Source organism: Homo sapiens, chromosome 8 (genome assembly GCF_000001405.40).
Source record: "Homo sapiens chromosome 8, GRCh38.p14 Primary Assembly".
Classification (NCBI taxonomy): Eukaryota; Metazoa; Chordata; class Mammalia; order Primates; family Hominidae; genus Homo; species Homo sapiens.
Window position 1 is genome coordinate 47,426,592 of NC_000008.11, and position 27,571 is coordinate 47,454,162.

The following is a 27,571-nucleotide window of genomic DNA, read 5'->3' on the forward strand; positions in this document are numbered from 1 at the left end:
AAGATGTTTTAATAACTGTCTTAGTCTGTTTTGTTTTGCCATAATAGAACACCACAGACTGGATAATTGATAAAGAAATTTATTTCTCACCTGCCTGGAGGCTGGGAAGCCTAATATCCGCCTCACCAGAAGGGAAAAGAAGTGTGAGAGAGGGAGAGGAAGGTGGTAGAACTCATCCTTTAATGAGGAACCAACTCCCATGATAATGACATTAATCCATAGAGGGCAGAGCCTCAGGATCTAGTCACCTCTTAAAGATCACCTTTCAACACTGCTGTGTTGGAGATTAAGCTTCCAGCACATTAACTTTGGGGGACACATTCAGACCATAGCAATAATCTGTAACTTTCCATTTATTGAAGTACGTTTTGAAGAATTAGAAGAGAGAAAGAAACAAAGCCTAAGAGAATAAAGTATTATTTCTTAGGATTTGTAAAGGAGAAAAACTCTGATGACTTATTCCTTGAATAATATTGTATTTATACAATTTCAAGAGAAACTGAAATCATATACTATTTCCATATTCTGATGATTATGATTAAATACTCAGGATAACACTCCTGGACACTTCTAATGCTTTTAGACTTTCTTCACATTATATAATGGGTTGGAAACATTCATAAATATTATAAATACTTTATAAATATTATAAATATAAAATAAATTGTCAGAAGCAGTTAACAAGGATTACCATTGGAAAAGGGTTGGGACAGGGTTTTTTTTTTTTAAATATGCCTTTTACAAAAAAAGAAATTTGTCAAAATCAAATATTGTTTTTACCATTATAGGGAGATAGATGTGAAGTGATAGAAAACTCCACCCTGAATTTTACTTATGAAGTACTAAAAAATTAATACTTCTATGTCAGGAAGTGAAAAATTCAATAACAAGACTGGTTTTTATAGTGCGGTAGTTTTCCAGAATGAGGAGTGTAGTGATCCTTTTTCCTTGGACAAGATTATCTGCCAACAGCCTGACAGGCTTGGTATGTAATCTCCAATACTTCTGCACCCTCCTTGTTACCTGTGTGAACCTTAGGTGAGCGTCTCTGTGCACCAGATGCAGGGGAACGGGGAGGCTGGGGCGTCCCTGACCGTCAGGCTACCTCAGGAGCAGTGGATGTGGTGCCCCACAGTGCAGCCCACAGAGTGGGGTTTCCTCGGTCTTGTCGCAAGCGTGTAGCCAGAAATCTGGTCCCCCACCTATTTCTTACTGCTTCCAGGAACTCCTCTGAGGCTGGGGGCCCCTGAGATGGGGTTGTGGTCCAGGGTCACCACTTGAGTGGCTGGGAGAAGAAGAATGAAAGTTGGGGTCGGCGATTTCTTTTTTCTTTTTTTCTTTTTGTTTTGAGACACAGTCTCACTCTGTCACCCCAGGCTGGAATGCAGTGGCACAATCTCAGCTCACTGTAACCTCTGCCTCCCGTGTTCAAGTGATTCTCCCGTCTCAGCCTCCTGAGTAGTTGGGATTACAGACGTGCGCCACGACGCCTGGCTAATTTTTGTATTTTTTTGTAGAGACGTGGTTTCACCACATTGGCCAGGCTGGTCTCGAACTTCTGACCTCAAGTGATCTATCTGCCTTGGCCTCCCAAAGTGCTGGGATTATAGGCATGAACTACCATGCCCAGCCTGGGATCAGCAATTTCTATACAGAAAGTGGTGTGAGCAGGAGGGTGAACAAAGAATCCTGTGTAGATACGTGGGTGTCTACAAGATTTCACTAATTTCTTTGATGCGGTATTTTCCAATAATTAAAGCCTAACTTGGGGTAGAAAATGGTAGACTGGTCATTCCTACCAAAGCAAGTCAGTTGGTAAAATAAGATCCCTTTATTTAATTAAAAAATAAGTGTTAGAAAATACATATGATCTAATCTAAGTCTCCTAGTATTATGTATTTAAACCCAGAAAAGGTAGGTGTATGGTGAGCTGCTTATTTAGCCAATTCTTGGCAATATTTTTTGCCTTTAAAATCTTTAGTTTCTCTGGGGATTTTTTTATGTAACATGAAACATTATTAAAAACAATTTGTTTTTTTAGATTTAAGAAATGCGAATAACACGGATTAAAGAAGGGTTGTTAATTTTGTAGGTCAGCATCTTTTAAAAAGTCATTTAAAATTTGTCCTTAAACTTCTTTGCTATGTTGTCTTCTCCCTCCCTGTGTTTCAGTTGAAGGGATACTGCCAGTGCCCACTCAGCGTGGGTCAGCTCTGATTTGGCCAGAGAGGTTTTGCTTCTGTTCCTTTTCTTATATCCCCTTTCCTCTGGGGTCAGGGGAGCTGACTCTGGATTATCTCCAGCTTCCCTCTGACCAATAAAACCACAAAGCCAACTAGTGTTCAGACTTTATTTTTCCCTCTGTTATATCCTTACCCACGTTTCAGTGCAGCAATGATATTTAGTATTGTTCTTTGTAGTCGTGAGCCAGAAGATTTTGCGTGAATACTGAGGCTGAACTATTCAAGTCAGGAAACAAACTGTGATACTAGTTTGTTCACTGTTAGAGGTAGGATTCCATGTCAGAAAATATCATAATTTCCAGTGACCATTTTAAGTTTGTATTAACGGAACAGTAAAGAGTTCTTACTAGAATTTAATAATGCCAAGTTATTTGATAATTTTATTAAAAATAATGGTGGGACCTAGAAATAGAGGAAGGGGTACTTAATACCATACCATACCTGTAAACTCTTTTGTGTGACATTCTTTGTCACACACTCAGCCCAGCTGCCTTGGACTCATTTCTCACTGCCCCCTTTCTGTGGCCCCCCACCTCCGTGTGCACAGCACGCAATATCTCCATGGGTCAAAGCCGTGGCTTTCATGGGATAAGCTGGGCACCAGGCCTAAGACATGCACTTTTATCTCTTAATGGTTTGTTTGTAACTATACTTCCAGTATCCTGTAGTTAATACAGTTAATTCCCCAAAATATAAGCAAATAAGAACTGCACAAAGAGCTACAAAGATGTATAGGGCATCCCTGAGCCATGCCCAGTAATTTAAAAATGTTACAACATGGCATCACAGAGTGCAGGAATAGCCCTCATCAGGCAGTGTTGGTTCTGGTCCAAACTTGGCCAGGGCTGAAGACCTATGTGGGTTACTTCATCTGCGCTGCAGTTTTTTTACTGACAAAGGGTGACTTTGTTAAACCTTGGGTTATTTCCACTTTTTTTTTTTTTCTGGTCTGTACTTTTCTGCAGCTTATATATATTTTTTTTATTTTATTTTATTATTATTATACTTTAAGTTTTAGGATACATGTGCACAATGTGCAGGTTAGTTACATATGTATACATGTGCCATGCTGGTGTGCTGCACCCATTAACTCGTCATTTAGCATTAGGTATATCTCCTAAAGCTATCCCTCCTATTTCCACTTTTTAAATTTGGTATTGCTGTTTTCCCCTGCCTTGTCTGTTATTCCCATGTGAAAGTCTCTCTCAGAGTGCTTTTTACTTTGTGTCTTTTAACTTTTGTGTCTTTTGTGTCTGACACTGGTGAGCCTTCCCAGCACTGGTGCTCCCTGGTCTTCTGCACACCTTTCAGGAGAGGCACTTCACGGTAATGGTCGCTCTGTGTTTTTGTTACTACATTACCTATTTTAATCCTTAAGCTAATTTCTCTTCTCCTTTTTCTTCTCTTCCCTACCCATTTGTTGAAATGCCATGGGAAGATGGCAGCAAGACACAAACACCTCCTTGTATCTAGGGGTTATGAATTTGCCATGCTCCATTTGGACATGCCTTATTCTGGCTCATCATAGGTTTTGCCTGTTTCCACCCAACTTAGGATGAATTAGAAGTTGTTCATTAGAATGTCCTTTATCGATAGTCATTATGGCAGGGGCCGGATTGATGTTGGAGTTTAAGAATCAAGGATAAAGTGACAGTGGGGACGCGCTGGACTCTGTCAGTTCATTAGTAAGCATATTTTCAACTCTCTGTGCTACAGAGATTCAGTGTGTTGGCCTCATGGTAGAGAGGCCGGATGCCCACGTGCTCCTGGCATTCCACAGGATGGTTTAAAGGTGGGTTTAGGAAGATTATAGTGACCACCCATAATTAGTAACTTGCTATTTTAACATTGGATTCTTGCAGTTTTTCCCAACACATTTGTTTCTCAGTTGATGCCACATTTATAAAAATAGAAATACTTAAATATCTAATTCTGTACTTTGTCATTAGCCATATGACCTTTTAAAAGTTGTTTTCAGTGTGATTACTGGACACCATTTTAATCCTATTTTCTGAGCCAAAATTATCATCTATAGTTGTATGAAATAAGGTGTTTTAAATGAAGAAGTTTTCAAGAAAGAAGAACTCGTATTCTCGATACTCAGAGTGGAAGGCATGGCTGGTCATCAGTGTCAGTGTGTGTGTTGGGCGGTCCTGTATGTATCGCATTGTCCCATCTCAGCTCAGGCTGCCATCACAAAATCCCACAGACTGTGACGTAAAGAGCAGACAGTTCTTTCTCACAGTGCTGGAGGCTGGTAGCCAGGGTGCAGCATGGTGGAGTCCTGGTGAGAGCCCTTTTACTGGTTTTAGGCAGTCGCCTTCTTGCTGTGTGCTCACAGAGCCTTTCCCGTGTGTGTGCATGGAAAGAACAAGTCCTCCAGTCTCTTACAAGGAGACTAAGCCTGTCAGATCAGGCTACCCTTATGACCTCATTTAACCTCAATTACTTCCTTGGAGCCCCCATCTCCAAATACAACCAGACTGAAGGTTAGGACTTCAACATAGGAATTTTGAGGGGACACCAACATTCAATCTGTAACACACCCCTGTTGTTTGGCTTAACTTCGCTTAGGGATCTGTTGCTTTTCTAGAGCCTTTGTATGCTTTATTCTCACGTGGAATTTCTTTTAAAATTGGACATTTCATTGCCCACTCACCTTCCGAACAAGCTATTCCTACGGAATGAGTCACAGCGACATGCCTAGTGGGAGGTGGGGTCACTGTGACACTGTGACCCTGGAGGCGGAGGTGCTCAGCTAGGCTTTGACTGCTCTCGTCACTGGGGATTGTGAAAACTTTTTGATCGCCTGGTCAGTCTTGTCTACTTTTTTGTTTTTGGGTTTTTTTTAAGAGTTGGGTTTCAGATTTCTGTTTCATGCTTAGAATAATTGTGGCTTTTGGAGAAGAATATTTTAAACTGGTGAAAAGGCAAAAAATGTGGAATCAAGAAGTGAAAGCACAATTGTTTACAGTTTAGTAAGCAGTTGTGGTAAAGAAATGTGTCTATTCATCATTGCCAGATGACTTAAAATTTTATGGGGGAGCATAAATTTTAAACAAAAATGAATTGTGCTCTTCATAGGATAAATGTGTGAATTTCTCCAGAATTTGTTTTTTTAGATATTATAATCAGGATCTCCTGCTTACAGCTTTATGAATTTTATCCTGAAGTTATCTGTGAAATGAATCGATGGCATCTTATAAGATTTACTCAGAATTAAAATTTTGATTTACCAATCATTAATAACACAATCAATACTTTAACAGGTATTTACTTACTGAATACTTATGGGAGCATATCAGTGCTATGTGTTTGAGAATCACTGGTAAAATTAGGTGTAGTTGTAACTTCTCAAAAGAAAAAACAATATAAACAAGTAAATACAATTAAGTTTTTAGTGCATGTTAATGAAAAAATGGTACAATACAGTGAATAGATAAAACGTCATTTGGATTTGATTTTGGAATGTTTTATTTGTTTTTCTCTTTGGAGCATCATTTGAGTCATAGTTTAATTTGTATTCTCTGGGTACACGCAAAGTGCAGTTGAGATGAAGGGGAGATGGGTCAGGAGCATCATGGTTAGCAGTGAAATCAAGACTGGAAACAGAGTCCCCCACATGCTTTACATCAGTTTGTATTAGGAGTCATTCATTTCTTACATATTTATTGGTACTGATCCAGGTGCAACACAGAGTTCATGGTTTAATAGATGAAATTGTTTACTTTTTTAAATCAGAGGTATAAACAAGAAGTACAGTGATAACATAAAGAGAAATGATAAACTGCAGAGTGGAAAGGAGAGTCATGCCCAGGGAGAAACTCACCAGGGAGACAGTGATGGAACTGTCTTAATGCACAATTGCTTATTTTTCACCTTGTCATAGAAATAATTTTAAATTGCTTGAAGGAAGCTACGGGATTTGAGGCTAGAGCAGTAAGAAGTAACAGGTAACAAAGGACTTTCCATACAATGGGAAGTAGTTTGGATTTAATCCAGTCAGGGTGGCTATCATTACATCTACATTTAAGAATACCATTCAGGTGGGCCTTATGAAGAGTAGGTTGGAAGAATCAGGTACTAGACTGGGGAGGTCAGTTAGTGCCAGACTATTGTAGTAACTAAGAGGCATCTCAGTCTTAATGTATTAAAAATTTATGTCTTGATACCAGTATTCTCATACTACCTGCACCTCCCAGAAAAGAAATATTTGTCTAGAAATCTTTACTGTCTCAGTAAATGTTAATTCTGTTCTTATTCTTGCTCAGGCCAAACCCACTGGAGTCATTCTTGTACTCTGTCTCATATTCACTCCTAGTCCATTAACAAGTTCTATTGGCTCTACCTTCAAAGAATATCTAGAATCTGAGCATTTCTTACCTCTCCTGTCACTCCCTAGATCCCAGACACCATCATCCATCCTGGATTGCTGCAGACCCTCCTAACTAGCTTCCCTACTTAATCCCTTGTCCTCTTCAGTCTGTTCTCAACACGGCTCATCATTTGACTTCCCTGCTGGCTTCCCATCACACCCAGAGGAAACACCCTGGTTCACACATCTGAAGATAGAAGACCTGTTTCTTCCCTGCTTCATCATTCTGAACTGATTCGATCTTCTTTTTCCCTGCCCAGGCTCCAGCCGACCACATTTAGTCTAGGCAGAACATGAATGGGCTGTTCTCTAAAAAGCTGTAGTGAACTTTTGGGGAAAGCTAAGACTACTAATGGGTATGCTGGGGCCGCCAGAATGATAGTCCTTTTTCTTTTGGCATTTGGAAGGCCTAAATGATCGTAAGAATTATTACAGTCAAATCATTTGACCTAAGTCTGAGATATTCTCATTTAAATGCAATCCTAAGACCCTGGTCAGATATTGAATTTTGTTTATATAATTGTGCTAATGTAAATTTGTTGATTATTTGTTAACTCTTGGAGTCAGACTATGGCTGGAGCATGGAGATTTGGCATAGGTTATAGGGTATACTGTGAACATTAACCTTGACAATGAAAGTGGAATTATGTTTAATTAAAATTGTGTAGCATGTTGGGGAGGAAAAACGTAGAGCAGGGTATACACCTTCTTCATTTTACAATGCTAGGAGCCCCAAAATGCTATGAGAAGTCAGTAAAATAGGGCATAGAGTTCGTTAAAGATACTAAACTTCACAAGTAACTAACAGAAACACCCCAAATAAAACCATTGTAGTAATGGATACATGTATTATTTTTGGGGGAAAGCTATAAAATACTATTTCAAAAATAGTAAAATGTACACTGAATATATAGCATGGTAGTTTGGAGTGAGTGCAGCAAGATGAATTATTATCATCACAGCTGGTGGTAACCAGTGTTAGAGTGTTTATTAAAGACAGAGGTCCTGTCCACATGGGAAGCAGATGGACTTTAAAACCCCCTGATGTCCATTCCTGACCCCTGCTGCTTGCTCATGATTCTCTGTGTGTGTATGTGTGTGTGTCTGCACACTCACATGCATGCTGGGTGAGAGAGAGAGGGAAAAGGAACGGTGGACACTTGATGAATTGACCTGAAGAAGACAAAAGTACCAATTTCAGGGAATACTAGAACATATGTTTTAGAGCAAGATAACTGGGCAGGCTAGCCTTTTGGGATATCTCTGAAGATAAAGAGAGACAGAGCGATAATGTAGGAGGAAAATTCCAAATTACCATGGGGTCAGTGTTTGGAAAATGGACAACTTAACATTAGTGGCAACAATTATGTTATGAAAAGTATTTCTGTTAGAAAGACTTACAGATGTTCCTGCCCTCTATTGGAGAATAATTTCAGTATCTCTCCCCTCATACTAACTTGCTTCACGGAGAATAATTTCAGTATCTCTCCCCTCATACTAACTTGCTTCACGGAGAATAGTTTCAGTATCTCTCCCCTCATACTAACTTGCTTCACTTTGTCCTTTCTTGTATAGTTATTTGTTATACTCATATATTAATTCAATATAACCTACTTAGGAAGACTTGAGTTGACGTGAGTATAATTGGACCCTGACTACCTGTATATTTCAACAACAACAAAAAAGGCATTTAACTCAGTAGTCACAGACATATTTTGTTATTCTATCATTTGCTCAATTTATTGTTTTGTGTTTCTTTTTTTCATTTTTTTTCTTTTTTTTGAGAGACAGGGTCTCACTCTGTGAGTCAGGTACTTGACTAGGGAGGCCAGTTAGTGCAGTGTTGTGATCATAGCTGACTATAACCTCAAATTCCTGGGCTCAAGATAACCTCCTGCCTCAGCCTCTCAAGTAGCTGAAACTACAGTATACTCCACTGTGCCTGACTCATTTTTATATTTTTATTTTTGTAAAGCTGGGGGGTCTCACTGTGCTGCTCAGGCTGGTCTTGAACTCCTGGCCTCGAGCTCCTGGCCTCAAGCTGTCCTCCCGCCCTGGCTTCCCAAAGTGCCGGGGTTACAGGTGTGAGCCACCATGCTCAGTCATTTGCTCAGATCTGTGTGTGTGTGTGTGTGTGTGTGTGTGGCCTCTTGGTTGTTTAAAACAAAAGACTTTTCAAAGAGCAGTTAGCTGATTAAATAACGAATTCATGCAGTTATTCAGCAAATGTTGTTATTCTTGAAGTTGAATACTGTCCATTTTTAACTAAGAATTATGTTTCATCTGCTAGGCATATGCATGGATAGAAATTACTAGATCTCTTGGTGTATCTTCTTCATTGAATCTTTCTGTTCCTGTTTCTTAATCGTTTAACATCTTTGCTATTGTATATTAGTATTTGTGGTCTCCATTTGATCTTTGTGGCACTTTCTCTTTGATGATTAGCACTTGACAAGTTATCTTCTTTTTCAGTGCAAGTTCTGTTGAAACCCTCACTGTGTCCAGCCACAGCAATAGGCCTCAGAGTCCGTTTCTCAACCTGAAACATTGTCTGTCTGTGCGTTTTAAACAAGCCCTATGTCTTAGCATAATGAAGTAGGGGGGAAACACCCCATCACTCACAATTTCCTATTCTTAACTGGCATTTATCTGAGAGACATTTTGGTCCTTGGCTTGTAAGGATATTTGATTACTGGGATTAGACCTGCCAGTCATCCTCTCTGTTCTTGAGAAAGTCACATGAGCAGCTAGCTTTATTTTTCAGTTTTCTCATCTGCCACAAAGGGAGATTAATATGTTCCTTACCTATTTCGTAGGGTTGTTGTGAATCGAGTATGAGAATGGCCTTGAAAATGCCTTGAAGAGCTGATGGCAGTGACAGTGGCTGCCATCCTTGCATGGCCAGGCACTTCGTGGTACATTTGCTGTGTTTGCACCTGTGATTGTAGTGCTCTTGGGGTAGCCGCTACTGTGTCCATTTAAAACGGAGGACACTCTTACAAGAGAGTTAAAGTATTTGGGGATTTTCAAGGGAAGGAATAGTTGCTTCTGGCTGGGATTCAGAAAACACTTCCTGGACAAGGTGATATTTTGGCTGTCTTGTAGCAGTTATGGAAAATGTTGCCTGGTAGCACTAAAATGGCCTTTTATGTACTAGTCATCTAATTGCAAAACATTGTCCTTTGTTTGTAAAATGAGTATATCCCCTGCTTGGATTAAAAGCTTGCTTCTGCCAGGCATGGTGGCTCACACCTGTAATCCCAGCACTTTGAGAGGCTGAGGCAGGAAGATCACTTGAGCCCAGGACTTCAAGACCAGCCTGGGCAATAAAGTGAGACCCTGTCTCTACAAAAAAATAAGAAAATTAGCTGGATGTTATGGTGGTGCGAGCCTGTCATCCCAGCTACTTGAGAGGCTGAGGTGGGAGGATCCCTTGAGCCCAGGTTATCGAGGCTGCAGTAAGCCAAGGTCATACCATTGTACTCCCGCCTGGGCGACAGAGCAAGACCCTGTCTCTAAAAATAAAATAAAAGCTTGCCTCAAGCACATTTTTGGTATAAGTCGTCCCTTGCTTTTTTCTCTCTCAGACAAGGAGGAGCTTACCCTGCTTTTTTTTCTCCTGGGAAGGAAGGCCCTGGAGGATGTTTTGTAGAAAGAGCTTTAGAATGCTCAGTGTAAAGGGTAGCCCTGTCCCTGACCTAGTGTCACAGCCATGGGAGCGCCGCTCAGTATTGCTTCCAAGGCCTATTTAGTCACCACATGAGCTGCTGTGTGCAGCACTGCAGTGATAGCCAACATCATAAAATGTTATTTTACAAGTTATTTGGTGCTATAGATCTTGATCAAAATTCATAGTTACTGGAATACTGTCAAGATTTATCATAGAAATCTTTTTTTTTTATACTTTAAGTTTTAGGGTACATGTGCACATTGTGCAGGTTAGTTACATATGTATACATGTGCCATGCTGGTGCGCTGCACCCGCTAACTCGTCATCTAGCATTAGGTATATTTCCCAATGCTATCCCTCCCCCTCCCCCCACCCCACCACAGTCCCCAGAGTGTGATATTCCCCTTCCTGTGTCCATGTGATCTCATCGTTCAATTCCCACCTGTGAGTGAGAATATGTGGTGTTTGGTTTTTTGTTCTTGCGATAGTTTACTGAGAATGATGCTTTCCAATTTCATCCATGTCCCTACAAAGGACATGAACTCATCATTTTTTATGGCTGCATAGTATTCCATGGTGTATATGTGCCACATTTTCTTAATCCAGTCTATCATTGTTGGACATTTGGGTTGGTTCCAAGTCTTTGCTATTGTGAATAATGCCGCAATAAAAAACAACCCCATCAAAAAGTGGGCAAAGGACATGAACAGACACTTCTCAAAAGAAGACATTTATGCAGCCAAAAAACACATGAAAAAATGCTCATCATCACTGGCCATCAGAGAAATGCAAATCAAAACCACAATGAGATACCATCTCACACCAGTTAGAATGGCAGTCATTAAAAAGTCAGGAAACAACAGGTGCTGGAGAGGATGTGGAGAAATAGGAACACTTTTACACTGTTGGTGGGACTGTAAACTAGTTCAACCATTGTGGAAGTCAGTGTGGTGATTCCTCAGGGATCTAGAACTAGAAATACCATTTGACCCAGCCATCCCATTACTGGATGTATACCCAAAGAACTCTAAATCATGCTGCTATAAAGTAATCTTTGAAGAAACTGTAGTCAGGCAGTATGATGCATCTTAGGTACATAAGTATTTCTTCTGTAATACTATTTATGTATTTCTGTAATAGCCTGCATTTATAAAATCTGTCAGGGTCTATGGGGACTTGAGCTGCCCAAGACAAGAATTAGTTTCTGAAGAGAGCTTGTGCTGCTTGGGCAGGCAGCTGAGCATGGCTGGGGGCTGCCACAGTGCGCAGAACCAAGAGCCTGTGCTCAGCTGGCACACTTGAACTTGAGCAGACCCCTGGGTGCTTGAGAGCAGAAGTGGCCATGGAGCCCTGACAGCTGCTGCTGTCAGTGGGAGACAGGGGAGGTTTCAGGCCTGTGCATTGCTGGGAATGAGCCCTGAGTTGAGTATAGGTACAAGTTTTAAAAATTCTTAAATTATGTCTCAAAATGCTCCTGTGGCCGCTGTAGCTCCTCAATCTAGGGCTTTTCCCTTTGCTTCTGAAGACTCTAATTCTGTACACACTGCTCTGGCTGCCCTGCTGAGGAAAAAAAGCTTTGTGGACTGAAGTGACTTCCACATTATCCTGATTTCTTTTCCAGTTTACCAATTGAAGATGAGCTACTTTTCATTAACAAAATGCCTGTTGTGGCGAAGCATCTGTGTGTTCACTTCTTAGTGCCTTTCTTTACAAGTTGGTTTCATTCCTCTGTTCCCTTCCCTAGAGTGACCAGCAGAAGCTCGTTATATGCTGCTTGTACATTGTGCTTATTCATATCCTTCCCCCATTCTGTTTTCTTGCCTTAAGAAATAGTTGTCCAAGACAGTGCCCAGAAATAGTTGCCTTAAGAAATAGTTGTCCAAGACAGTGCTTAGGGGAGGCAAGGTGGCCCAGGGCCCAGTATATGGACATGTGTCATGGACACCTACATAAAGGAAGGGATGAAAAATTTGGGGTTGAATGGGAAATGAATGAAAAAAAAGTGAGAGGGAGAAAGAAATAGATGATTAAAATCTTAGCACCGTCTAAATATTAATTTTTACTATTCACTATTAACCTAGTTGGCTGAAGTGGTAAAGAAACTCATATTAGTGAGTATCTGTTATTAACAAGGCAGTATGTTGTACCCTTCATTTTTGTTGTTCTCAGTTTATGTATTTTTTTATTTTTTTTAATTAAAAAGCACAGAGAATAATAGAAACACATAAGCATGCTCACTGCCTAGAATTAGTAACACATGTCAATCCTTTGTCTTTTTTTAGTTTCCCATAGTTTTATAATAGAAACAATATGACACATAAATTTGAAACCCTCTGGGTTCCCCTCCTGAGTCATACTCCTCTTTCTCTCTCCTTAGAGACAGTGGCTTTCATGACTTTTCTGTGAATCCTTCTATTTATGTTTTTATACTCATCTTGTATTCATAAACTATTGTATTGATTTCTGTGTTTTTTAAAATTACATTATAGGTGTCATACTCTGTATATCCTGTTTATCCCCTTTCATTTCTTGAGACCTCTCCATCTGATTCTTAGACGTCTACTTCACCTCATTTTAAGTGCCGTACAGTGTTCTGTTGTATGAACACACCATGGTTTACCCATCTTTCTGATTTATGCTGGGTGCAGTTTTCTACTCTTATAAACAACGCTGAGATGTGTATCCTTGTTTAGGTATATTGGTGCATCTGACAGTTTCTGGGTACCTACCTAAGATTTCTGGGGTATAGGCTATGCACACTATCAACTTCAGTTATCTCATTTAATCTGAACAAATGTTTCCTGGGGCAGGTGGCAGGATCTCCATTTTACACATAAGACAATTTAACAGTTGAATGCCATGGAACTTGGCCAACTTAATAAGGAAACCAGCACTTGAATCCAGATCAAATTCCACCCATTTCAATCTAGAGCTCTAATACCCAGCAGTCCACATAACTCTTCAACTGTTAGCCTTTCTGATCATTGGAACAGCTGCAGCCAGCTAGTAACATACATGATTTCAAAGCAGAGAATCAAAACAGATAATAAAGAGGAGGGTCCATCCTTAAGAAGAATCCACAGTGGCCATATTCTCCTTGTGGTCATCAAAGGATTTCAGACTTGGAGTAAAACGCATGCTCCTTAAAATGACGGGTCTAAGGTTTCTATTTGTACAGGACTATTTCTTCATGACAGAAGACTTTATTTTATGCTGCTTAAAATCCATGTATTAAATGCAACATGCAGGCCTATTTTGATTAAAGAAAAGTGTTATAGTGAGCATCGTAGTGTCTCTGTTTTACTTTGCAAAATGTGGAGACCATTTTCTCCAGGTGAAGAGTGCTATCTGCATGTGGATCTTTTTTTCATGACACTTTATTCACGCTTGAACCATCTGTCTTTTGATTTCATTTTTGCTTTGTTCTTTTCTTCAACTTCTAGGTAGAAAATCTGGTGTATTAACTGTGAAAATTTTAGAGCTGCATGAGGAATGTGCCATGCAAGTTGCCATGTGTGAGCAGTTATTGGGGTCACCAGCCACCAGCTCCTCCCAAAGTGTGGCTCCCAGGCCTGGAGCTGGCCTGAAAGTTCTCTTCACCAAGGAGACTGCAGGCTACCTCAGGGGCCGTCCCCAGGACACTGTCCGGATCTTCCCTCCCTGGTGAGTGCGCAGAACTTAATCCAGCAGTCACCAACTGTGAGTCAGCCTCGTAAGAAAAGACATTTTTATCAGTTACATTTTTGTCACTTTATCATAGAGCAATGCGAGAGGAAGAGAGCCAGGATTGGACGTGGGTTTTCTGTCAGAGAAGCACTGGATTGTCTCTGATAGCTCATTTCTAGTTCTGTCAGCATATTTCTGATAATTTGGGGTGAGAGGGTTGAGGAAACAACCATATTAAGACTCTTGCCCAAGTGATGTGTTATAAGATCTGGCTGTTTTTGTTTTTATATTTCTTAGAAAAATAATTTTGTTAACAGGCATTATGTGACAGTAGGATAACACACATTAATTAAATATTTCTTAGTCACTTGGGAGGATAAAAAGCATGAATTAAGATATACTAGTGTTTGAATTGCAGGAGCAAAAATGGTCATTATTGGATCAGAAATTATTTTAAAGGATACTATGTGTGCTGTCTTTTGCAGTGGGATATTGATTTTTACCATGAATAGAAGAAAATCATACTACTTTTGAGGAAAAGTTTGAGCAGCCTTGTTTTAAGAGCTAATTATTAATTTTTTCGTAATTTTTTATAAGTTTTCATTTTGTATGTATGAGGAAGGGCTATAGGATAAATTTTTATAAATATTATTGCTGGATCAGTGCTTCTTTAATTTTAGCAGACTTTGTCAAATGGCACCATTTTACGTTCCCACTGGCAATGCCTGAAGTGCCTTTTTCTTCTCCTTTACAAACCTACTTTGTTGATCTAGACCAAGTTAAAAATTGGAAATATGATGTTTATCATTTTAATTCATATTTCTCTTATATAAAATGGGCTTAGGCATTTTTCTACATGTTTTTAAGAACCACTTGAATTTCATTTTATGTCCATTGATAGCTTTTGACCTTTCTTCTCTTTGGTCACTTTGGTCCTGGTGATTTCTACCATCTTTTTATAAATGATTAAAAAAAAAAGTAGTGCCTTGTCAGTCATATACATTGCAGTTAGTTCGTTCCCCATTTACCATTTGACTTTTTACGTTTTTAGGGGGCAGGGGTTTGTTTTGTTGCTTTGTTTTTGATGAGCAGAACTTTTCTGTTTTTCTGTGGTTGATTTTAGCCATCTTTTATAGCTTCTGGGTTTTGTATCATAGATAGAAAGGTTTTCCTTACTATGAGGTGTAAAAGTTATTCTATGTTTTATTCTAAGACTTTCATCGATTTAAAAATTTTTACATTTAAATCTTTTGACACTCCTGGAATTTATCTTTATGGGTAATATGTGAGGTAGTGAATGCAATTTTATTTTTTTCCAAATGGCCACGAGGAGTCCCAACATTATTTATTGAACATTCTGTTTTTTCTTCATACAATTTTAATGCTGCCTTTATCATGTACTAAATACCTACATATATTTTGGGCTATTTACTCTTTTAATGTAACTGTATTTGCACATGCTAGTATTATACTATTTCAGTTACTATAGTTTTATATGGTGTTTTAATAACTGCTAGGACTACTCACATCTCATTAAGCTTAATTTTTAGAACTTTCCTCCTAATAATTGCTTCCTTTCTTTTTTACTTTAAATATTTGCCTTAAACATTTATTTTCAAGTATGCATTGTAAAAGTTAAAACAATTCAGAAATATATAACTTAGAAAGTGAATCCTCTTACCCTCACCTCTTCAATTAATCACACTCATTCTAGATGACTGCTGTTAATAATTTGGAGTATAATCTTCCAGGATTTTTAAATTCTTAAATATTCAATTATGTATTTAACACATCCCAGTGACTATACACAATCTATATGTAAGTTATGTAATCCTGCCTATTTTTCTATAATAAGTTTAGGTTTAACTTACTAGATTAAAAACAGATTGATAGGTTTTTTAGGGTAGGTTAATCTCTGCATTCACGGAGTAGGGCTTTAAAGGTAGTGTCTGGCAGGGTTCTGATGTGATGCTCCCCTCTCCGTGTTCATGGAGTGCACAGCAGCACAGGACTTCTGTCAGCATCTCTTACCTTGAACCTGTCTTCCCTCCTTCAGAAATCTGTCCTCATTTGGATCTTCTTTGTTCACCCCTTAGTTTTACTCCCTTGTGGAATTTAGCTCTTTCATTAGTGTCTAAGTTCATTTGTGGTGGCAGAGTCTTTTATTGTTATTATTTTTTAAAAAACTCCTCCCTCCTCAGCTTTTTAAATTCTTTTTTTCTTTTTCTATTTTTTGTAGAGACAGAGTCTTGCTATGTTGCCTAGGCTGGTCTCAAACGCCTGGCCTCAAGCAGTCCTCCCACATTGGCCTCCCAAAGTTCTGGGATTATAGGCCTGAGCCACCAGGCCTGTTCCCTTCTCAACTTCTCATTTTTTTGGCACACCTTTATATGTTTTAAAATGCATTTATTAAATGACCTTGTTTTTTTAATATCTAAATATGATTATTTTTCTTCAGGGAAGATGTTTTAGAGGCTTTAAATGTAGGACATTTTCTTGGGCTTATGAGAAGTAAAATTAGATCAAGATTATCTACAAAGATTTATATGACCAAGAATTTCTAAATCCCACTGACTCCTTAGACTTTACAAGTAAATGAGTTATTATCATTAGACTTTGGAATGTTTGTAGGTCTGGATCTTACCAAACAACCCCTGGGTGTTACTCTCCACAGGAATGCCTGTGGGCTGTCAAGAGATTATTTGCCTATATTCAGCATATAATGCTTAAGAAAATAGAAGAGGCCGGGCGCATTAGTTCACGCCTATAATCCCAGCAGTTTAGGAGGCCAAGGCAGGTGGGTCATTTGAGGTCAGGAGTTCGAGACCAGCCTGGCCAACATGGCGAAACCCCATCTCTACTAAAAATACAAAAATTAGCTGGGTATGGGTGGTGCGTGCCTGTGGTCCCAGCTACTCGGGAGGCAAAGGTGAAAGAATCGCTTGAGCCCAGGAGGTGGGGGTTGCAGGGAGCCGAGATTGCACCACTGCATTCCAGCCTGGGCGACAGAGCAAGACCCTGTCGCCAAAAAAAAAAAAAAAAAAAACACCTCATACTTAACAAAACAAAACCAAAATAATTTTTTAAAGGACTAGTCTTTTTTTTTTTTATGGAAACTTGAGAAATAATAGTGAATATATTTTTCCTTGTGGACTGGCTGTCCTTTTCCCACTAGCACCCTTCTGTGTTCATTTAAACTGTTTTTTTTTTTTAACATGGGCACAGTTTTTTAAAAGAATCAATAGACTTTAGATACTCCTGTTGGTCCTGTAGTAATAAATATGAGTTTAGGTACAATGGCTGCTTACCCCGAGGAGCTCAGAGCCCTCTGTAGATATTACCTGGTAAACTCTCATTGGATTCCAGTGAGGTGTAATGCAGCTTTGCCTCTGGCAATCTGAAAATAAAGATAGAAGTAAAATGTCTTGCCTCCAATTAATTGCATTATGAAATAGTCATAGAATTATATAAGTCACCAACTTACAAAAAAATGCATTAATCTATATAATTTCAGACATGTAAAAATAAAATAGTATAATGAATCTCATGTCCCATAGTTTCAACATTTATTAACTAATGAATAAACAGCTTTTACTACTCAAGCAAACTGAAAGCTTTATAATGATTCCAAAGAAACATCTCACCACTTGAACACAGATATACTAGAAAAAACAAATGAAGGAATTTACTTTAATGATACTGGGGAGAGAGGAAGGTAGAAACCATCTGCCTGATTACATCCTGCCATGAAATCTAACTCCAGAATGAGGGCAGGTGAGAGGTTAAGTGTGTGAGAGTGTATCCAGAGACAACCAGGACACCTCTCATTCATTCAGAAGTATTTATTGGTATCCCCTGTGCCAGATACTTTGCTTCTCCTCAGAATACACATCCCAGTATGCTGGAAGAGCGAAGTCTGACTTTCCCTATTGTCATGAGTATACCCTTCCATCGGTCCATTCATATCGTCATCTTTTTAGTCACTACTTAGTATTCCACTATATGGACATGTGGTAATTTAAACATCCTCTTATTTAGAATTGTTAAGGTTGCTTTCTATTTTTAGCTGTTTTAAACACTGCTTGGGTGAAATATTTATCATTATACCTCCCTTCTGATTTGGTTCTTAGACTATTTCTAGAAGTAGAAATTATTGGTCATAGAATACCAGTGGGTTTTGAGCCTTTTGATATATGATTTCCATAGTAACCTGTAAAGGTTGAAGCTGTCTCAGCTGCTGCCAGTTTCTCATCACACCACACTCAACATTTTTTATGGCTGCACAGTGTGATATAGTTTTTAAAACACTTTCCATATTCTCAGGATGTGGTACATATTGGTTCTTTTACTATCATAAACAGCTATGTAGTAGATATTGTTATATATGTAGTTTGGTATGTACTTCAGATATTGTTTCAAAGTCGCTTTTAGGAACTGTTTTAGTATAGTAAAGGGTATGTGTTTCGTTTTTGCTGTTGCTGCTTTGACTCCTTGATATTGTTAAGTCATCTGTAAACCTCATAGTAGAGTCTCTGCAGCTGGTCACATCGAATATAGCCCACCTTATTTTACTATGCTTTTTTGCTTGTATAGCACTAAACACATGTTGCACTTTTTACAAATTGAAGGTTTGTCAACCCTGAATCCAACAAGTCTACCAGTGCCATTTTTCTAACAGCATGTGCTCACCTGTCTCTATATCACATTTGAATAATTATCCCAGTATTTCAGAGTTTTCATAATTATTATCTATTATGGTGATCCGTGATAAGTGATCTTTGATATCACTGTTGTAATTATTTCGAGATGCCATGAACCGTGGCCATATAGGATGGCAAACTTAATTGATAAATACTGTGTGTGCTCTAACTGCTCCATTGACCGGATGTTCCCCCATCTTACTTTCTCTCCTCAGACCTCCCTATTCCATGAGACACAACAGTATTGAAATCTGGCCAATTAATCGCCCTAATATGCCCTCTAAGTGTTCACATGAAAGGAAGAATTGCACATCTTTTACTTTAAACCAAAAGCTAGAAATGATTAAGCTTAGTGAGGAAAGCATGTCAAAAGGCAAGGTAGGCTAAAAGCTAGGCCTCTTGTGCCAGTTAGGCTTCTTGTGCCAGTTAGACAAGTTATGAATGAAAAGGAAAAGTTCTTGAAGGAAATAAAAAGTGCTATTCCAGTGAGCACACAAATATTGAGAAAGCAAAGCTGCCTTATTGCTAATATGGAGAAAGTTTGAGTTGTCTGGATAGGAGCTCAAACAAGCCATGACATTCCCTTAAACCAAGCCTAATCCAGAGCGAAACCCTAACCTTCTACAATTCTTTGAAGTCTGAGAGAGGTGAGGAAGCTTCAGAAGAAAAATTTGAAGCTAGCAGAAGTTGATTCATGAGATTTAAGAAACTCCCCCATAACATAAAATTACAAGATGAAGTAGCAAGTGCTGACAGAGAAACTGCAGCAAATTATCCAGAAGATATAGCTAAGATCATTAATGAAGGTGGCTACACTAAACAACAGATTTTCAGTGTAGGTGAAACAGCCTTATATTTGAAGAAGATATCACCTAGGACTTTCATAGCTGGCGAGGAAAAGTCAATGCCTGGCTTCAAAGCTTCCAAGGACAGGCTGACTCTTTTATTAAGGTCTAATACAGCTGGTGACTTTAAATTGAATCCAGTGTTCATTTACCATTTTGAAAATTCTAGGGTCTTTAAGAATTATGCTAAATCTACTCGCTTGTGCTCTATAAATGGAACAATAAAACCTGGATAACAGCACATCTGTTTACAGAATGGCTTAGTGAATACTTTAAGCCAAACTTTTGAGACCTACTACTGAGAAAAAAAATTTTCTTTTAAAATACTACCCCTCATTGACAATGCACCTAGTCAGCCAAGAGCTCTAGATGTACAAGGAGATGAACGTCGTTTTCATGACTGCTAACACAACATCCATTCTGTAACCTGTGGATCAAGGGGTAATTTTGACTTTTCAAGTCTTGCTTTTAACTGCCATAGATAATGATTCCTTTTTTTTTTTTTTTTTTAAATGAGATGGAGTCTCAGTCTGTTGCCCAGGCTGGAGTGCAGTGGTGCAATCTCAGCTTACTGCAACCTCCGCCTCCCAGGTTCAAGTGATTCTCCTGCCTCAGCCTCCTGAGTAGCTGGGATTACAGGTGTGCGCCACCACGCCTGGCTAATTTTTGTATTTTTAGTAGAGACAGGGTTTCACCATATTGGTCAGGCTGGTCTGGAACTCGTGACCTCGTGATCCACCCACTTCGGCTTCCCAAAGTGCTGGGATTACAGGTGTGAACTACCATGTCCAGCCACCTTTCAAGGGTCTGGGCAAAGTAAACTGAAAACCTTCCTGAAAGGACTCACCATTCTACCTCCCATTAAGAACATTCATGATTCATGGGAGGAGGTCAAAATATCAACATTATCAGGAGTATGGAAAGAGTTGATTCCAACCCTCTTCAGTGACTTCAGGGGTTTAAAACTTCAGTGGAGGAAATAACTGCACATGCGGTGGAAAAAGCAAGAGAACTCAAATTAGAAGTAAAGCCTGAAGATGGGACTGAATTGCTAAAATCTCCTAACTTTAATGGATGAGGAGTTGGTTCTTATGAATGAGCAAAGAAACTGTTTTTCTGTTTTGTTTTGTTTTGTTTTTTTGAGACAGAGTCTTGCTCTGTCAGCCAGGCTGAAGCGCAGTGGCACAGTCTCGGCTCACTGCAACCTCCGCCTCCCGGGCTCAAGCATTTCTTCTGCCTCAGCCTCCCTAGTAGCTGGGATTACAGGCGTGTGCCACCACACACGGCTAATTTTTGTATTTTTAGTAGAGATGGGGTTTCACCATGTTGGCCAGGCTGGTGTCGAACTCCTGACCTCAGGTAATCCGCCTGCCTCAGACTCCCAAAGTGCTGGGACTACAGGCGTGAGCCACCGCGCCTGGCCAGAAACGGGTTTCTTTAGATGGAATATAATCCTGGTGAAGATGCTGTGAACATTGTTGAGAGGACAACAAAGAATTTAGAGTATTCCATAAACTTGATTGATAAAGCAGCATCAGGTTTGAGAGGATTTACTGCAATTCTGAAAGAAGTTCCAGTAATGCCATCAAACAGTATCTCATGCTACAGAGAAATCTTTCTAGAAAGGAAGAGTCAGTTGATGCAGCAAACTTTATTGTTCTCTAAGAAATTGCCACAGCCACTCCAGCCTTCACACACCACCACCCCAATCAGTCAGTAGCAATCACCATCAAGGCAAGACCCTCTCTCAGCAAAAAGATTATGACTTACTGAAGGCTGCATTTTTTACCAATAAAGTGTTTTTGACTAAGGTATGCACTTTTTTTAGATACAATGCTGTTGCACACCTTATAGGCTATAATATAGTGTAAACATAACTTTTATATGCAATGGGAAACAAAAATTCATGTGACTTGCTTTATTGTGATAATAACTTTATTGGAGTGGTCTGCAGCTATACTTCCAGTATCTCCAAGATATGACTGTACTTTTTCTTGTATTTATTTACTGGTGACAGCTTTTCTTTTTATAGTTATATCACTTAGAATAATAATTTTGTTATTTCCTTCCCAATACTCATGCTTCTTTATCTGCTTAATGTCTTATTGCTTTGGCTAAAACATTCAATTCAAAAATTTTTTTACTACTGTATTCCCGTTGCCTAGAATAATGCTTGAAACATAGTAGGCACTCAGTAACTATATGATTAATATTGTATTAAATCATCATGAAGATGTTGTCAGCCTTGTTTATCCTCCCTAATTGAATGAGACTTTGTTGATTTGTACATTCATTTAAAAAGATTTACTGAATGTTTACTTACTTACTCTTTAATAAGCCTTGTACTAGAATTCCTGGGAATACAACATTCAACATGAATGTCAAATTGTTTCTGCCCTTAAGGAGCTCACAGTGTGGTGGAAGAGAAAAGTAATATAAACAAGTTATAAAAGACCACTGTAGGCGTAGTAATAGATATCTGTACAGAGGTTGCAAGAGGATTGAGGAGGTAAGCACAGCCAGTAGGTAGGTCAGTAGGGTGGGTGGTTATGTATGTGAGAGTATGTGTGTGTACCTGTGTTTATGTGTGTGTGTGTGCTTGGGGAGACTACAGACCGAGAGATAGGGTGTCAGGGGTAGCTTCCTGAAGTTGGTGATGCCCTATCTGAGCTAAAAGGGCTATGTTAGAAAGAAGCAGGGGAGGGACTATGAGGGCATTTGGAGTAGAGGAGACCACATGAGTAAAGACCAAAAAGTCAGAATGGCCTAGTGTAAGACGTATGCAGGGGTATATGTAGTGCTTTGTGTACGAAGTAGAAATTCCAAGGCAGTAGCAGCAGAAAGTGAATCTGGAGAACCTCCCTGTGTGCAGTGTTAACAAGCTGAGATTTACAGGAGAGACATTATGATCTGATTCACCCTTTAAAGTCTGTGGAGGATGACTGGGGGTGGAAGGGCAGAATAAATGCATCTCGGAGGCTGTGGGAGTAGCTCAAGTGTGGAAAAAGGTGGTGCTTTGGACTATGATGGTGAATAGTGGATTTGGAATATATTTTGGAGTTAGAGGCAACAGGGTTTGCTGATGGGTTTGATGTGGTATTTAAGTAAAGATAGGAAACAAGGAAGACAACTAAGTCTTTGGCTTGAGCAAACAAGTGAATGATCATGCCATGTACTGAAATGGGAGACTTGGGATTGATTTGTGGGGCCCAGTCAATGGTAGTTTTTTGGTGTCAGCAGTAATTAGAGCCTAGAGTAAAAACACAAGAGAGGTTATGATTCCAAAAGAGAAACTCTGTCAGCTCGTCTGGGTTTTTAGTATAACCCATGTGTGGTAATTGGTAGAGGACAGAGGTGGAGCCCATGGGCCTATTCACAACTGCTTTGGTTCCTGTTTTATATTTGCCACATGAGATTCTTTGAAATAAATAAATTGCTGGCTCCTATTGAAGAGACCAAAGCAGTACTAACGATGAAAACTTTGTTTACTGGGTGAGATTATCTTCTGTTGGGACAACAAGGAATTTAGTCTTTTCCGTCAAAATTACAGGGTGTCTTGAGAGGAAATAACTAGGAAAGAAAATTAATGCAGTATGAAAAGGGAAAAGATATAGACTATGAGGATAATCTGGATAATCTGAAAAACTGGAAGGAAGATAAGGAAGGCAGTCATTTATTCTACATGAGGAGGAAGTGAAGTTAGATGACGCTTTTCAATGGGGTGTATCTTAGTCTGTTTTGTGATGCTATAACAGAAAACCTGAGACTGCATAATTTATAAGCAATAGAAATTTGTCAGCCCAGTGCAGTGAATTATGTCTATAATGCCAACACTTTGGGAGGCCGAGGCAGGCAGTGGATTGCTTGAGTCCAGGAGTTCGTGAGCAGCCTGGGCAAACCCCATCTCTACAAAAAATACAAAAATTAGCCAGGCACGATGGTGCATGCATGTAGTCCCAGCTCCTTGGGAGGCTGAGGTGGGAGAATCACCTGAGCCCAAGGAGGTCAAGGCTGCATTGAGCCATGATCCCACTACTGCACTTCAGCCTGGGTAACAGAGTAAGACTCTGTCTCAAAAAAAGAAAAAAATTCATTTGTCTTATGGTTCTAGAAGCTGGGAAGTCCAAGAGCATAGCACCACTATTTGTTGAGGGCCTTCGTTTTTCATCTTCCCATGGCAGAAGGTGAAAGGGCAAGAGAGCACAAAAGCAAGAGGGAGCCAAACTTGCTTTTATAACAAGGCCATTCTTGTGATAGCTAGCCCACTCCTATGGTAATGACATAAATCCATTCAGGAAGGTAGCACCCTCATAATTTATTAGGTCCCACCTCCCAATACTGCTGCATTGGAAATTAGGTTTCCAATGCATGAACTTCAGGAAACACATTCAGACTATAGCAGGGTGTTCATAGAAATATGATTAAAGTGTTTTGTGCTCAAATAAGTTTGGAAAAGGCTCCTCAAATGTGTACCAGTTGTTGTATTGTAGGACTGCTCAGAGTCTCTCATATGCAAATGTATATTGTTGTTTCCAGTAGAGGGAAGCAGAAATGGCAACATTTGAACAAAATATTAGCAAACAAATTACCATGCTCTTCCTAATCTAAGATACTGAGTAAAGAGAGCAACTGAGAAGAGTGATGTCATGAAAATGGTGTAGAGTAGGAAGTTCCAGAAATCCATCCCTCTATCGAAATAACTACCAACCTGGAAGGAACCACATGAAGTGCCTGTTGTGGAATTCTACAGTCCAGTTGAACACTTACAGCAAATATTAAAGTATAATTTGGAAAAATCACAGATGGACAATTCCAGTCTTCAGCAGGTAAGATTCTGCGATCCCTGAGGAGTGGGATAATTAGATTCCCAGAGTTTTTATAAAGTACTACTCAAATGTCCAATTCTCAACAAAAAATTACAAAACACACAAACAGGAAAATATGGCCCAATACAGGAAAAACATAATTTTACATAGCCATCCTTGAGGAAATTGAGATATTGGAATTATTAGTCAAAAATGTGAAATCAGTTGTCTTAAATATGTTCAAGGAGTTAAAGGGAACCCATAGATAAATAACTAAGGGAAATCAGGAAAATGGTATCAAAACAAAATGAAAATATCAGTAAAGATACTGAAATTATTTAAAAACCAAAGAGAAATTCTGGAGCTGAAAGTACAATAATTTAAATTTCAAAAACACACTAGAGATTGGGTGTGGTGACTTAACGCCTGTAATCCCAGCAATTTGGGAGGCTGAGGTGAGTGGATTGCTTGAGTCCAGGAGTTCAAGACCAGCCTGCGCACCATGAAGAAACCCCATCTCTATAAAAAATGCAAAAATTACCTGGATATGGTGGTGCACTCCTGCAGTCCAGCTACTTGGGAGGCTGAGGCACAAGAATGGTTTGAACCTGGGAGGCGCAGGTTGCAGTGAGTTGAGATCACACCACTGCACTCCAGCCTAGGCGACATTGTGAAACCCTGCCAAAACACACACACACACACACACACACACACTAGAAAGATTCCACAGAAGATTTGAGGAGGCAGAACACAGGCTCATTGAACTTGAAGAAAAGAAAATTGAACTCCTTCTGTCTGAGAAGCAGAATGAAAAAAATGAACAGAGCCCGAAGCACCTGTGGGACACTATCAAATGTAGAACCCTGTGTATTATAGGAGTACCAGAAGGAGAAGAGAAGAGAGGGAGGAAACACCAGAAAAAATATTTGAAGAATAATGGCTGAGGAACAATGTCTGCCAGCTTTTGTGCCAGCCCCTCAGTGATCAAGCGCAGCAATTAGCAATCAAAACACATAATCAGCCCTGGTCCCAGCAATCTGAACCAGGATTGTGGAGCTAGGGAATGTGGCATGGTAATTGCTACCACTTGAAAGGCTAATTTGAAATTCTTGAAGAATAACATAACTCCTCAAATTTGATGAAAATCTTTAATGTACATACCCAAGAAGGCCAATGTACTTCAAGCATAATAAAGTCAAAGAGGTCCACACCAAGGCACATAGTAGTGAAGTTGATGAAACCCAAAGACAAAGATGGTGTATTGAAAGCAGCAAGAGAGAGGCAACTTGCTACGTATAAGGGATCCTCAATAATATTAACAGCTTATTTCTTATCAGAAACTGTGAGGTCCAAAATCGATCAATCAATGAGAAAACGAAACAAGCAAAAAAAAGAAACTATGGGGGCCAGAAAGCACTGGGATGATGTATTTAAAGACCTGAAAGAATCTTCCCTAACTCATTTTATGAGGCCAGCATCATCCTGATACCAAAGCCTGGCAGAGACACAACAAAAAAAGACAATTTTAGACCAATATCCCTGATGAACATCAATGCAGAAATCCTGAATCAAATACTGGCAAACCGAATCCAGCAGCACATCAAAAAGCTTATCCACCATGATCAAGTGGGCTTCATCCCTGGGATGCAAGGCTGGTTCAACATATGCAAATCAATAAACGTAATCCAGCATATAAACAGAACCAAAGACAAAAACCACATCATTATCTCAATAGATGCAGAAAAGGCCTTTGACAAAATTCAACAACCTTCATGCTAAAAACTCTCAATAAATTAGGTATTGATGGGACGTATCTCAAAATAATAAGAGCTATTTATGACAGACCCACAGCCAATATCATACTGAATGGGCAGAAACTGGAAGCATTCCCTTTGAAAACTGGCACAAGACAGGGATGCCCTCTCTCACCACTCCTATTCAACATAGTGTTGGAAGTTCTGGCCAGGGTAGTCAGGCAGGAGAAAGAAATAAAGGGTATTCAATTAGGAAAAGAGGAAGTCAAATTGTCCCTGTTTGTAGATGACATGAATATATAGTTAGAGGGCCCCATCATCGCAGCCCAAGATCTCCTCAAGCTGATAAGCAGCTTCAGCAAAGTCTCAGGATACAAAATCAATGTACAAAAATCACAAGCATTCTTATACACCAATAACAGACAAACAGAGAGCCAAATCATGAGTGAACTCCCACTCACAGTTGCTTCAAAGAGAATGAAATACCTGGGAATCCAACTTAGAAGGGATGTGAAGGACCTCTTCAAGGAGAACTACAAACCACTGCTCAATGAAATAAAAGAGGATACAGACAAATGGAGGAACAAACATTCCATGCTCATGGATAGGAAGAATCAGTGTTGTGAAAATGGCCATACTGCCCAGGGTAATTTATGGATTTAATGCCACCCTCATCGAGCTATGAATGACTTTCTTCACAGAGTTGGAGAGGGCTGCTTTGCAGTTCATATGGAACCAGAGGGGAGCCCGCATTGCCAAGAGAATTTTAAGCCAAAAGAGCAAAGCTGGAGGCATCACGCTGCCTGACTTCAAACTATACTACAAGGCTACAGTAACAAAAACACCATGGTACTGGTACCAAAACAGAGATACAGACCAATGGAACAGAACAGAGCCCTCAGAAATAATACCACACATCTACAACCATCTGATCTTTGACAAAAACAAGAAATGGGGAAAGGATTCCCTATTTAATAAATGGTGCTGGAAAAACTGGCTAGCCATATGTAGAAAGCTGAAACTGGATCCCTTCCTTACACCTTATACAAAAATAAATTCAAGATGGATTAAAGCCTTAAATGTTAGATCTAAAAGCATAAAAACCCTAGAAGAAAACCTAGGTTTCTTGTAAGAAAAAAACAGACAGCCCCATCAAAAACTGGGCAAAGGGTATGAACAGACACTTCTCAAAGGAAGACATTTATGCAGCCAACAGACACATGAAAAAATGCTCATTATCACTAGCTATCAGAGAAATGCAAATCAAAACCACAGTGAGATACCATCTTACACCAGTTAGAATGGTGATCATTAAAAAGTCAGGAAACAACAGGTGCTGGAGGATGTGGAGAAATAGGAACACTTTTACAGCATTGGTGGGACTGTAAACTGGTTCAACCATTGTGGAAGACAGTGCAGCAATTCCTCAAGGATCTAGAACTAGAATTACCATTTGACCCAGCCATCCCATTACTGGGTATATACCCAAAGGATTATAAATCATGCTGCTATA

The 27,571-nt window shown here is 39.4% G+C and overlaps 1 protein-coding gene across 55 annotated transcripts in view; it reads left to right on the forward strand.

The window, feature by feature from the left end:
- The window catches only part of SPIDR (scaffold protein involved in DNA repair), a 475,429-nt gene that overhangs the window by 165,714 nt on the left and 282,144 nt on the right, over positions 1–27,571 (forward strand). For 54 of the 55 annotated variants that reach the window (NR_148202.1, NR_148205.1, NR_148204.1 and 51 more), the window contains one exon: positions 13,732–13,951. The exons of the other annotated variant lie outside the window; for it this stretch is intronic. Coding sequence is in view for 48 of the 54 variants with exons in the window: in XM_017013268.3 (XP_016868757.1) it covers positions 13,732–13,951 (220 nt within the window). In the remaining 6 variants the exon portion in view is untranslated. The remainder of the gene's footprint in view (positions 1–13,731; positions 13,952–27,571) is intronic. 55 annotated transcript variants of the gene reach the window in all.